Source organism: Homo sapiens, chromosome 20 (genome assembly GCF_000001405.40).
Source record: "Homo sapiens chromosome 20, GRCh38.p14 Primary Assembly".
In the NCBI taxonomy this organism is placed as follows: Eukaryota; Metazoa; Chordata; class Mammalia; order Primates; family Hominidae; genus Homo; species Homo sapiens.
This window is the reverse complement of record NC_000020.11, coordinates 31,230,387-31,244,598: the sequence shown is the minus strand read 5'-3', so window position 1 is coordinate 31,244,598 and position 14,212 is coordinate 31,230,387. Positions and strand designations below refer to the sequence as shown.

General features: G+C 38.7%; 3 annotated features.

Moving 5' to 3' along the window:
- Positions 1,027–1,600: an enhancer, noted in NCBI's record as "OCT4-NANOG hESC enhancer chr20:29830802-29831375 (GRCh37/hg19 assembly coordinates)". NCBI's record gives its function as "activates a minimal SCP1, AML or CMV promoter by ChIP-STARR-seq in primed H9 embryonic stem cells {active_cell/tissue: H9 hESC(primed)}" and the evidence as "EXISTENCE:reporter gene assay evidence [ECO:0000049][PMID:30033119]".
- Positions 10,129–10,640: an enhancer, noted in NCBI's record as "OCT4-NANOG hESC enhancer chr20:29821762-29822273 (GRCh37/hg19 assembly coordinates)". NCBI's record gives its function as "activates a minimal SCP1, AML or CMV promoter by ChIP-STARR-seq in naive H9 embryonic stem cells {active_cell/tissue: H9 hESC(naive)}" and the evidence as "EXISTENCE:reporter gene assay evidence [ECO:0000049][PMID:30033119]".
- Positions 10,641–11,153: an enhancer, noted in NCBI's record as "OCT4-NANOG hESC enhancer chr20:29821249-29821761 (GRCh37/hg19 assembly coordinates)". NCBI's record gives its function as "activates a minimal SCP1, AML or CMV promoter by ChIP-STARR-seq in naive H9 embryonic stem cells {active_cell/tissue: H9 hESC(naive)}" and the evidence as "EXISTENCE:reporter gene assay evidence [ECO:0000049][PMID:30033119]".

The following is a 14,212-nucleotide window of genomic DNA, read 5'->3' as shown; positions in this document are numbered from 1 at the left end:
TTCATTTCATTCAATTCCATTCTATTCGATTCCATTCCATTAGATTCCATTCCATTGCAATCCTTTCCATTCCATTCGATTGCGTTTTATTCGAACCCATTCTATTCGATTCCATTATATTAGTTTCAAATTCCTTTCTTTTGTTTCCATTACACCCGATTCCATTCCATTCAAATCCATTCCATTCAAGTCCATTCCATTACATTCCATTGCATTCTGTTCCATTCCATTGCATTCCATTGGATTGCATTCCATTCAAGTTAATTCCATTCCATTCCATTCCATTCCATTCCATTCCATTCCATTCGAATCCTTTCCATTCCATTCCATTCCATTCGAGTCCATTCCCTTCGAGTTTGTTCCTTTCAAGTCCATTCCATTACAGTCCATTCCATTCGATTCCATCCCATTTGAATCCATACCCCTCGGTTGTATTCCTTTCAAGTCCATTCCATTCGAATCTATTCTGTTCGAGTCCATTCCACTCGAATACATTCCATTTCAGGCCATTCTACTCGAGTCCATTTCATTCCAGTGTATAGCATTCAATTCCATTCCATTCGAGTCCATTCCATTCCATTCCATTTAATTGAATTCCATTCCATTCGTTTCAATTCCATTCCACAAGGTTCAATTCCATTCGATTCAATTCTATTCGATTCCATTCCATTCGAGTCTTTTCAATTTGAGTCCTTACCATTCCATTCCTTTAAATTCGAGTCCATTCCTATTCCATTCCATTCTATTCAATTCCATACCATTCTATTCCATTGCATTTCATTCGATTCCATTCCATTCCATTCCTTTTGATTACATGCCATTCGAATCCAATACATTCCATTCGATTGCCTTCCATTCGAGTCTATTCCATTGGAGTACATTTCATTCGAGTCAATTCCATTCTAGTCCATTCCAATCGATTCCATTCCTTTCCATTACATACGTACGGTTCCATTCCAGTCCATTACATTCGAGTCCATTCAATTTGATTCCATTAAGTTCGACTCCATTCCATTCCATTCAATTCCATTCCATTCGATTGCTTTCCATTCGAGTCCATTCAATTGGAGTCCGTTTCATTCGAGTCCATTCCATTCTAGTCCATTCCAATCGATTCCTTTCCATTCGATTCCATTCCATTCGATTGCATTCCGTTCGAGTCGATTCCATTTGATTCCATTACATTCGAGTCAATACAATTCCGCTCCATTGCATTCGAGTCCATTCCATTCCATTCTATTCCATTGCATTCCATTCAATTCCATTTGATTCCATTCCATTCAATTCCATTCCATTCGATTCCATTCCATTCCATTCCATTCGATACCATTCCATTCCAATCCATTCAATTCGAGTCCATTCCATTCGATTCCATTCTATTACATTCCAATCGAATCGATTCCATTCCATTCAATTCCATTCAGTATGATTTGATTCCATTCCATTCGATTCAATTCCATTCGATTCCATTCCTTTCCATTCCATTCCATTCCACTCCACTCCACTCCACTACATTCAATTCCATTCCAACACATTCCATTCCACTCTACTGCACTCCATTCACCACAATCCACTCGATTCCATTCGATGCCATTTGATTTCATTATGTTCCGTTCCATTCCATTCGATTCCATTCCATTTGATTTCTTTCCATTTGATCCCATTCCATTCGATCCCATTTTATTCAATTCCATTGCATTCGATTCCATTCCAATCGAGTCCATTGCAATCCAGTACATTCCATTCGATTCCATTCCATTCCATTCGATTCCATTTGCTTCCATTCCATTGCATTCCTTTCGATTCCATTACATTTGTGACAGTTCCATTCCAGTACATTCCATTCGAATCCATTCCATTCCAGTCCATTCCTTTCGAATCCATTCCGTTTGATTCCATTTCATTCGATTGCATTCCTTTCGGGTCCATTCCAATGGAGTCCATTCCATTCGAGTCCATTCCATTCCAGTTCATTCCATTCCATTCCATTTCATTCGAGTCCATTCCATTCCTTTCCATTACATACGTACGGTTCCAGTCCATTACATTCGAGTACATTCCATTCCATTCTATTCCATTCCATTAAATTTCATTCGATTCCATTCCATGCGAGTCCATTCCATTCAAGTCCATTTATTTGAGTCCATTCCATTCCAGTCCATTACATTCGAGTCCACTCCAGTTCATTCCATTCCGTTCCATTCCATTCCATTCGAATACATTCCATTCCAGTCCCTTCAATTCGAATCCAAACCATTTCATTCCATTCCACTTGAATCCATTCCATTCCATTCCATTCTATTTCATTGTATTCCATTCTATTCCATTCTATTTCTCTGCTTTTGATTCCATTGCATGCCCTTTTATTCCTTTTGATTCCATTCCATTCTATTTCATTCCATTCCATTCTATAACACTACTTTTGATTCCATTGCATGCCCTTTTATTCCATTCGGTTCCATTCCATTCCATTCAATTCCGTTCCATTCCATTCCATTGCATTTTAGTTGATTCCATTCCATTCTATTCCATTAAATTCCATTCCATTAAATTCCATTTCAGTGCATTCCATTCCATTCCATTCCATTCCATTCGACTCACTTCCATTCCATTAGAGGCTATTCCATTCCATTCCATTGCATTCCATTCCATTCCATTCCATTCCATTGCATTCCATTCCATTCCATTGCATTCCATTCCATTCCATTCCATTCCATTCCATTCCATTCCATTCCATTCCATTGCATTCCATTCCATTCCATTCCATTGCATTCCATTCCATTCCATTCCATTGCATTCCATTCCATTCCATTGCATTCCATTCCATTCCATTCCATTCCATTCCATTCCATTCCATTCCATTGCATTCCATTCCATTCCATTGCATTCCATTCCATTCCATTCCATTCCATTCCATTGCATTCCATTCCATTCCATTCCATTCCATTCCATTCCATTCCATTCCATTCCATTGCATTCCATTCCATTCCATTGCATTCCATTGCATTGCATTCCATTCCATTCCATTCCATTGCATTCCATTCCATTCCATTCCATTTCATTCGATTAGATTCCATTCCATTCGATTCCATAACATTCGATTCCAATTCATTCGATCCCATTCCATTCAATCCATTCCATTTGATTCCATTCCATTCGATACCATTCCATTCGTGCCCATTCCAATCGAGTGCATTCCATTGCAATCCATTCCTTTCAATTCCATTCCGTTCTATTCTGTTCCATTGCATTCTATTCCATTCTGTTCCATTCCATTCCGTTACATTATGCTCCAGTTGAGGCCATTCCATTCTAATCCATTCAATTTGTGTCAATTCCATTCGATTCCATTCCATTCGATTCTATTCATTCGATTTCATTCCATTCGAGTCCATTCCATTCCAGTCCATTACATTCGATTCCATTCCTTTCCATTCCAGTCTATTCAATTCCATTCGTTTCCTTTCCATTCGAGATCATACCATTCCATTCCATTCCTTTCGAGGCCATTCCATTCCAGTTCTTTCCGTTCCATTCCATTCCATTCCCTTCCTTTCGAGTTCATTCCGTTCCTTTCCATTGGAAACCATTCCATTCCATTTGATTCCATTCCATTCGATTCCATTCCATATGATTCCTTTCCTTTCGGGTCCATTCCATTCGAGTCCATTCCTTTCACTTCCATTCCATTCCGTTCCAGTCCATTCCATTCTTGTCGATTCCGTTCTATTCCATTCCTTTCCCTTCCACTCCATTCCATTCCATTCCATTCGATTCCATACCATTCCATTCTATTCCATTCAAGACAGTTCCATTCCAGTCCATTCCATTCGTGTTCATTTGATTTGTTCTCATTCCATTATATTCCATTCCATTCAATTACATTCCGTTTGATTGCATTCCATTCGAGTCCATGCGTTTCCAGTCCATTACATTCGAGTCCATTCCGTTCTATTCCACTCCATTCCGTTCCATTCCAGTCCATTCCATTCCATTCGATTCGATTCCATTCCATTCCATTCCATTCCTTTGAATTCTATTCCATTTGATTCTCTTCCATTCGAGACCGTTCCATTCAAGTCCATTCCTTTTCAGTCCATTGAATTCCTGTCCATTCCATTCGATTTTATTCCTTTAGAGTATATTCCAATGGATTCCATTCCATTCGAGTCCATGCCATTCGAGTCCATACCATTCCAATCCATTCCATTCCATACCATTCCATTCCATTCGATTTCATTCTCTTCCTGTCCATTCCATTGCATTCTATTCCTTTTGATTCTATTCAAATCCGTTCCATTCGATTTGATTCCATCTGATTCCATTCCATTCGAGTCCATTCCATTCCATTCTATTACATTCGAGTCCATTTCATTCCATTCAATTACATTCTATTCCATTCCATTCCATTCGAATCCATTCCATTCCGTTGCTTTCCATACCATTCCAATTCATTCTATTCCATTCCGTTCGTTACAATTTCATTCAAGACAATTCCATTCGAGTCCATTCCATTTCAGTCCATTCCATTGCAGTCCGTTCCATTCAAGTCCATTCCATTCCATTATATTTCACTAAATTTCATTCGTTTCAATTCCATTTGACTCGATTTCATTCCATTCGAGTCAATTCAATTCCTGGCCATTATATTCAAGTCCATTCCATTCTATTCTATTCCATTCCATTCCTTTCGATTTTATTCCGTCGTGTCCAATCCATTCGAATCCATTCCATTCCATTCCATTCGAGATTGAACCATTTCAATCCATTCAATTCAATTAAATTCCATTCAATGCCATTCCATTTGATCCCATTCCATTCGAGTCCATTCCATTCCAGTCCATTACATTCGAGTGGACTCTTTTCCATTCCAGTCAATTCAATTCCATTGTATTCCCTTCCATTTGAGCCGTTCCATTCCAGTCCATTCCTTACGGGTCCATTCCATTCCAGTCCTGTCCATTCCATTTTTTTTGATTCCCTTCCATTCGAGTCCGTTCCATTCCATTCCATTGCATTCAATTCCATTCAATTCCATTCCATTCCATTCCATTCCATTTTATTCTGATCTATTCGATTCCATTCCATTCAAGCCATTCCATTCCAGTCCATTCCTTTTGAGTCCATTCCATTCCAGTCCATTCCATTAGACTGCATTCCATTAAAGTCCATTCCATTCGTTTCCATTCCATTCCATTCTTTTCCATTCGAGTCCATTCCATTCCAATCCATTCCATTCCATTCCATACATTTCCTTTCCATTCAATTCCATTCTGCTCCTGTCCATTCCATTCCATTCGATTCCATTCAAATCCATTCCATTCGATTTGATTCCATTCGATTCCCTTCCATTTGAGCCCATTCCATTCCATTCCATTTGAGTCCATTGCATTCCATTCAATTCCATTCTATTCCATTCCATTCCGTTCGAATGCATTCCATTTGATTGCATTCCATACCATTCCAATCCATTCTATTCCCTTCCCTTCGTTACCATTCCATTCAAGACAATTCTGTTCGAGTCCATTCCATTTCAGTCCATTCCATTCCATTCCATTCCATTATATTCCATTCTATTTCATTCGTTTTGATTCCATTTCATTCGATTTCATTCCATTCGAGTAAATTACATTCAAGTCCGTTCCATTCCATTCCATTCCATTCCATTCAAATCCATTGTATTCCCTTCCATTCGATTCCATTGCATTCGATTCCACTCCATTCGACTCCATTCCATTCGAGTCCTTTCTATTTTAGTAGATTGCATTTGAGTCCATTCCATTCCATTCCTTTCCATTCGATGCCATTCCTTTCGATTTCATTCAATTCCGTTCCATTCCATTCGAGACCTTTCCATTCTGATGCATTCATTTTTAGTCCATTCCATTCGATTCCATTCTATTACATTCCAATACATTCGATTCCATTCAATTCGGTTTGATTCCATGCCTTTCAATTCAATTCCTTTCGATTTCATACGATTCCATTTCATTCCATTCCATTTTATTTCATTCCATACATTTCATTCCACTCCACTCCACTCCACTCCACTACATTCAATTCCAATCCAACCAATTCAATTCCACTGCATTCCTCTCCACTCCGCTGCATCTGAATCCATTCGATTCCATTTGTTGCCATTTGATTCCTTTCCGATCGCTTCCATTACATTCGACTCCGTTCCACTCTATTCCATTCCATTCCATCCCATTCCATTTGATCTCATTTTACTCGATTCCATTGCATTTGATTCCATTTCATTCGAGTCCATTCAAATCGATTCCATTCCATTCCACTACATTCCATTCGATTCCATTCCATTCCATTCCATTTGTTTCCATTTGATTCCATTCCTTTTGTTTCAATTCTATTCCATTGCATTCCTTTCAATTCCATTATATTGCATTCCTTCCGATTCTATTCCATTCAAGACCATTCCATTCCAGTACATTCCATTCAAATACATTCCATTCCAGTCCATTCCATTCGAATCCATTCCATTCTATTCCATTCTGTTCGATTGCATTCCCTTTGGGTCCATTCCAATGAAGTCCATTCTATTCGAGTCCATTCCATTCCAGTCCATTCCATTCCATTTCATTCCATTCCATTCTATTGCATTCCATTCCTCTAGAGTCCATTCCATTAGAGTCCACTCCATTTGAGTCCATTCTATTCCAGTCCGTTACATTGGAGTCCATTCCAATCCATTACATTCTATTCCTTTCCATTCCATTCCATTCTATTCCATTCCGTTCCATTCCATTCCATTCGATTTTATTCCATTCCAATCTATTCTTTTTGAATCAATTTCATTCCATTCTCTTCCATTCCATTTGATTCTATTCCATTCGAGTACATTCCATTCCAGTCCATTCCATTAAATTCCATTCGATTCCATTTCATTGCATTCCATTCTATTCGATTCCATTCCATTCGATTCCATGGCGTTTGAGTCCCTTCCATTCGAGTCCTTTCGATTCCACTATATTACACTCGAGTAAATTCCATTCCATTCCATTCCATTCCATTTGATTCTGTTCCATTCTATTCCATTCCATTCCATTTTATTCCATTCCATTCGATTCCATTCCACTCAATTCCACTCAATTCGAGACTGTTCCATTCCATTCCATTCTACTCAAGTCCATTCCATTCGATTCCATTCCATTCGAGACCATTCCATTCCAGTCCATTCCATTCGAGTCCATTCCTTTCCATTCCAGTCCATTCCATTTGATTCAATTCTATTCGAGTCATTTCCATTCCGTTCCAGTCAATTCCATTCCATTCCATTCCATTTGATGCCATTCTTTCGAGTCCATTCCTTTTGAGTCTAATCCGTTGCAGTCCATTCCATCTAGTCCTTTCCATTCCAGTCCAATCCATTCCATTCGTTTCTATTCCATTCCATTCCATTCCATTCCAATCCTTTCCATTCCATTCCATTCCATTCGAGACCTTTCCTTTCCAGTGCCTTCCATTCTTTTCCATTCTATTCCATTCGAGACCTTTCCATTCCAGTGCATTCCATTCTTTTCCATTCCATTCCATTCTATTCCATTCCTTTCCAATCCTTTCCATTCGATTCCATTCCGTTCGAAACCTTTCCATTCCAGTGAATTCCATTCTTCTCCATTACATATGATTCCATTCCGTGAGATTCCATTCCATTTGTTTCAATTACATTCGTGTCCATTCCAATCCAGTCAATTATATTCCAGTCCATGCCCTTCCGTTCCAGTCCTTTCCATTCCATTTGATTCCATTACATTCGATTCCATTACATTCAACTGCATTCCATTCGATGCCATTCCATTGAAGACCATTCCACTCCATTCCATTCCTTTCGAGTCCATTTCATTCCATTCCTTTCTATTCAGTTCCGTTCCGCTCGATTCCATTCCATTCGATTGCATTTCTTTTGATCCCTTTCCATTCGATCCCATTCCATTCGATTCCATTCCATTTGAGTGCATTGCAGTCAAGTCCTTTCCATTCCAGTGCATTCAATTTGATTCCATTACATTCCATTTCATTCCATTCCATTCAATTCCATTCCATTCGATTCTATTCCATTTCATTCTATTACATTCGATTCCATTCCATTCAAATTCATTCCTTTCTAGTCCCTTCCAATTGAGTCCATTCCACTGGAGTCCATTCAATTCCATTCGATTACATTCGAGGACATTTCGTTCCATTCCATTCTATTCCTTTCCAGTCCATTCATTCTAATCTTTTTCATGCCATTCCATTCCATTCATTCCACTCCATTCCATTCCATTCGATTGTTTGCCACTCCATTGCATTCCGTTAGATTCCATTCCATTCCATTCCATTTCATTAAATTCCATACGAATCCATTCCATTCCATTCCAGTTCATTCGAATCCATTCCATTCCATTCCATTCGATTCCATTCTTTTCCATATTATTCCATTCCATTCCATTCCATTCCAGTACATTCTGTTCCTGTCCATGCCATTCCATTCCATTTGATTCCATACCATTCCATTCCATTCCAGTACATTCTGTTCCTGTCCATGCCATTCCATTCCATTTGATTCCATACCATTCCATTCCATTCCATTAGATTCCATTCCATTCAATTCTACTCCATTGTATTCCATTCTTTAGATTCCATTACATTAGGGTCAGTTCCATTCCATTTCATTCCATTCCATTAGAGAGCATTGCATTCCATGCAATTCTATTCCATTCCATGCCATTCTATTCCATTCCATTCCGTTCGAATCCTTTTCATTCAATTCCATTCAACTCCATTCGATTGCACTCCATTCAATTTCATTCGATTTCATTCCATTCCTTTTGATTGCATTTCATTCCATTCCGTTCGAATCCATTCCATTCCTTTCGATTGAATTCCGTTCATTCCATTCCATTCTGTTAGATTCCATTACATTTGATTCAATTCCAATCCATTCTGTTCGAATCCATTCCATTCCAGTCCATTCCCTTCGAATCCATTCCATTCTTTTCAAATGCATTCCGTTCGAGTCCATTCAACTCCATTCCATTCCGTTCAAATCAATTCCATTCCATTCCATTTCATTCAATTCCATTCATTCCATTCCATTCCGTTTGATTACATTACATTCTATTCAATTCCGATCCATTCTGTTCGAATCCATTCCATTCCAGTCCATTTCCTTCGAGTCCATTCCATTCCATTCGAATCCATTCCGTTTGAGTCCGTTCTACATCATTCCATTCAGTTTAAATCAATTCCATTCCATTCCATTCCACTGCAGCCCATTCCATTCCAGTTCATTTCATTCCGATCCATTCTGTTTGAATCCATTGCATTCCGTTCCATTTCATACCATTCCATTCCATTCCATTCCTTTCAATTCCATTCCTTTCCATTCCATTCCATTCCATTCCATTCCATTCCATTCCAATCCATTCCTTTCCAGTCCATTCTATTCCATTCCATTAAATTCCATTTCATTCGATTCTGTTCCATTCCATTCCATTCCATTTTATTTCATTCCGTTTGATTCCTGTCCATTTGAGTCCATTCCCTTCCAGTCTAATCCGTTGGAGTCCATTCCATTCTATTGCATTCCATTCCATTTCAATGGATTCCATTTCATTCCATTTGAGACCGTTCAATTCCAGTCCATTCCATTTGAGTACATTCCATTCCATTCCATTGCTTACCATTCCATTCGATTCCATTTGATTCAATTCCTTTCAATTCCCTTCCATTTGATTCCATTCCAATCAATTGCATTCCATTGACTTCCATTCCATTCTATACCGTTCGATACCATTCACTTCCTGTCCCCTCCATTCAATTACATTCGATTCCATTCCATTAAATTCAATTCCATTCCGTTCGATTCCTTTCCGTTAGATTCCATTCCATTCCAGTCCATTGCGTTCAAGTCCATTCCATTCGAGTCCATTCCATTCTGTTCCATTGCACTTGACTGCATTCCATTAGATTCCATTCCATTTGACTGCATTCCATTCGAGTCCATTGCATTCGAATCCATTCCACTCTAGTCCTTTCAATTCCATTCGATTCCCTTCCATTCTATTCCATTCCATTCCAGTACGTTCAATTCCAGCCCAGTATTTTTTATTGTCTTCCATTGAATTCTTTTCCATTCTAATCCCTTCCATTCGATTCCATTCCATTCCAGTCCATTGCTTTCGACTCCATTCCATTCGGGTCCATTCCATTCGCCTCCATTCCATTTGATTTCCTTCCATTCTATTCCATTCCATTCCATTTGAGTTCATTCCATTCGAATGCATTCCAATACAGTCCATTCCATTCCATTCCAATCTATGCGATTCTATTACAATCCATTCCATTCCATTCCATTCCATTCCATTCCATTCCATTCCATTCCATTCCATTCTATTCCATTCAATTTCATTCCATTCAATTCCATTCCATTTGGGTCATTTCCATTCCATTCTATTTCGTTATATTGAATTCCATTCCATTGCATTTGGGTCCTTTCCATTCCATTCCATTTCGTTCTATTCCACTCCATTCCATTCCATTCCATTCCATTCCATTCCATTGCATTCCATTCCGTTCGATTCTATTCCAATCTATTCCTTTCCATTTGATTCCATTCCATTCGATTGCATTACATTCGAGTCCATTCCATTCGAATCCATTTCAATTGAGTTCATTCCATTCCATTCCATTCGGTTTGATTACGTGCAATTCCATTACAGTCCATTCCGTTCCATTCCATTCTGTTTGATTCCGTTCCTTTCCATTCCATTCAATTACACTCCATTCTATTCGATTCCATTCCTTCCATTCCACTCCATTTCATTCCATTCCATTCTATTCCATTCCATGCCACTCCATTTCATTTCATTCCATTCTATTCCATTCCATGCCACTCCATTTTATTCCATTCCATTCCATTCGACTCCATTCCATTCCATTCCATTCCATTCCATTCCATTCCATCCCATTCCATCCCATTCCTTTCCATTCGGTACCTTTCCATTCCATTCAATGTCGTTCTATTCAGTTACATTCCATTCCATTCAATTCCATTCCATTCGAGTCCATTCCATTCCATTTTATTCAATTCCACTCCGTTCCATTCCATTTCATTCCGTTGCATTCCATTCAGTTCCATTCTATTCCATTCTATTAGAGTATGTTCCATTCCATTCCTTTTCATTCCAGTTCATTACATTTGAGTCTATTCTATTCCATTCCTTTCTATTCCATTCCATGCAATTCCATTTCATTCCATTCTTTTTCATTTCAATCCATTCCATTCGAGTCTGTTCCATGCCAGTCCATTACATTTGTGTCCGTTACATTCCATTCTTTCCATTCCATTCCATTCCAATCCATTCCATTCCATTCCACTCGATTGCATTCCTTTCCATTACATTTGAGTCCATTCCATTCCCTTCCGTTCCCTTCCATTTGATTCCAATCTATGGGATTCCATTCCATTCTATTCCATTCCATTCGATTCCATTCCATTTGATTCCACTCCATTCGATTGCATTCCGTTCGAATCCATTCCAATTGAATCGATTCCATTTGAATCCTTTCCATTCCAATCCAGTCCATTCCATTCGATTCCATTCCATTCAATTACATTACGTTCTAGGGTATTCCTTTGGATTCCAATCCATTCAAACCCATTGCATTCTAGTCCATTCCATTCGTGTCCATTCCATTCGATTCGATTCCGTTGCAGTCCATTCCATTCGAGTCCATTTTGTTCTATTCTATTCCATTCCATTCGATTTCTTTTGATTCAGTTTCATTCGAGTCCATTCCATTCCCATTGTTTTGATTCCATTCCATATCTGTCTATTCTATTGAAATACATTCCATTTCATTCCATTCTGTTCCATTCTATTCGATTCCATTCCATTCGATTCCATTCTGTTCAATTCCATTCCATTCCATTCTATTCCATTCCACTCCATTCCTTTTTATTCCCTTCCTTTCCATTAGTGTCCATTCCATTCCATTCGTGTTCTTTCTTTTCGAGTCCATTCCATTCCACTGCATTCCATTCCATTCCACTACAGTCTACCCCAATTCACTGCATTCCATCCAACTTCATTCCATTTTATTTCACTCCAAGAAATCCATTTCACTCCATACCATTCCATTGCATTCCATTCCATTCCGTTACATTCCATTCTATTATATTCCACTCCTTTCCAATCCAGTCTGTTCAATTACATTCTTTCCCTTTCCATTCCCTTATACTCCATCCACTCCACTCCACTACACTACATTCAATTCATTTCCAACCCATTCCATTCCAACCCATTCCAATCCATTTCACCACAAGCCATTCGAATCCATTCGATACCATTCTATTCCATTCAGTTCGATTAAATTCCATTCTTTCCATTTCATTTGATCCCTTTCAATTTGAATGCATTGCATTCCATTCCATTCCTTTCGATTCCATTCCATTCCATCACATGCCATTTGATTCCATTCCATTAGAATACATTCCATTTGACTCCATTCCATTCAATTCCATTCCATTTGATTTCTTTCCTTTCGATTCCATTGCATTCCTTTCCATTCCATTCTGTTCGATTACATTCCATTTGTTTCCATTCCATTCCATTCAATTCAATTCTATTCCATTCCACTCCATTCCTTTCGATTCGATTCAATTCCATTCCATTCCTTTCCTTTCGATTCCATTCCATTCAATTCCGTTCCATTTGAGTCAATTCCATTTGATTCCATTCCATTCCAGTCCATTCCTTTCGAGTCCGATACATTAGGTTCCATTCAATTTGATTCCATTCCATTCAAGACCGTTCCATTCCAGTCCATTACTTTCGACTCCATTCCATTCGATTCCATTCCATTCGATTCCACTGTATTGGACTCCATTCCATTCGATTCCATTCCAATGCATTCTATTTCACTGCATTCTATTCAATTCCTTTCGAGTCCATTCCATTGGAGTCCATATCATTCCAGTTCATTCCATTCGAGTCCATTACATTCCAGTGCATTCCACTCCTGTCCATTCCATTTGATTCCTTACACTTCAATTTCATTCCTTTCGATTGCATTCCATTCATGTCCATTCAAACAGAGTCCATTCCATTCCATTGCATTCCATTCGAGTCCATTCCACTGAAGTCCATTTCATTCCAGTTCATTACATTAGAGTCCATTACATTCTATCCCATTCCAATCCATTCCATTCCTATCGAGTTCCTTCCATTCGAGTCCATTCCTTTTGACTCCGTTCCACTGCATTCCATTCTATTCGATTCCATCCCATGTGATTCCATTCCATTCGAGTCCATTGCATTTGAGTCCTTTCCATTCGATTCCATTCCATTCCAGTCCATTCCATTTGATTTCAATCCATTCGATTCCATCACATTCAATTCCATGCCGTTCCATTCGATTCCATTCCATTCCATTTGATTCCATTCCATTCCAGTCCATTCCATTTGAGTCTATTCTATTCTACTCCATTCCATTCGTGTCCATTCCTTTCTATTCCATTCCATTCGAATCTGTTCCTTTTGATTGCATTCCATTCGAGTCCATTGCATTCGAATCCACAATAATCGAGTCCATTCCATTCACATCCTTTCAATTCGAGTCCACTCCGTTTGAGTCCTTTCCGTTTGAGTCCATTCCATTCAATTTCTTCCATTACTGTCCATTCCATTCCATTCAATTCCAGTCCATTCCATACGAGTCCATTCCATTCCAGTCAATGACATTCGAGTGCATTCCATTCCATTCCTTCCATTACAGTTCACTCCATTCCTTTCCATTCAATTGAATTCCATTCCATTCCGTTCCGTTCCATTCCAGTCTATTCCATTCCATTCCATTCAATCCCATTCCATTCCATTCTTTTCTATTCCATTCCATTCCATTCCATTCAATCCCATTCCATTCCATTCCTTTCTATTCCATTCCATTCCATTCCATTTCATTCCATTCCAATCCATTCCATTCCATTCCATTTAATTCCATTCCTGTCCATTCCATTTGATTCCATTCCATTCCAGTTACATTCGTGTGCATTCCATTCCATTCCTTCCATTACAGTCCATTCCTTTCCATTCCACTTTTGTCCTTTCCATTCTATTCCATTTCAATTCATTCCATTCGATTCCATTCCATTTCAGTCAATTACGTTCGAGTCCATTCAATTCCATTCCTTCCATTACAGTCCATT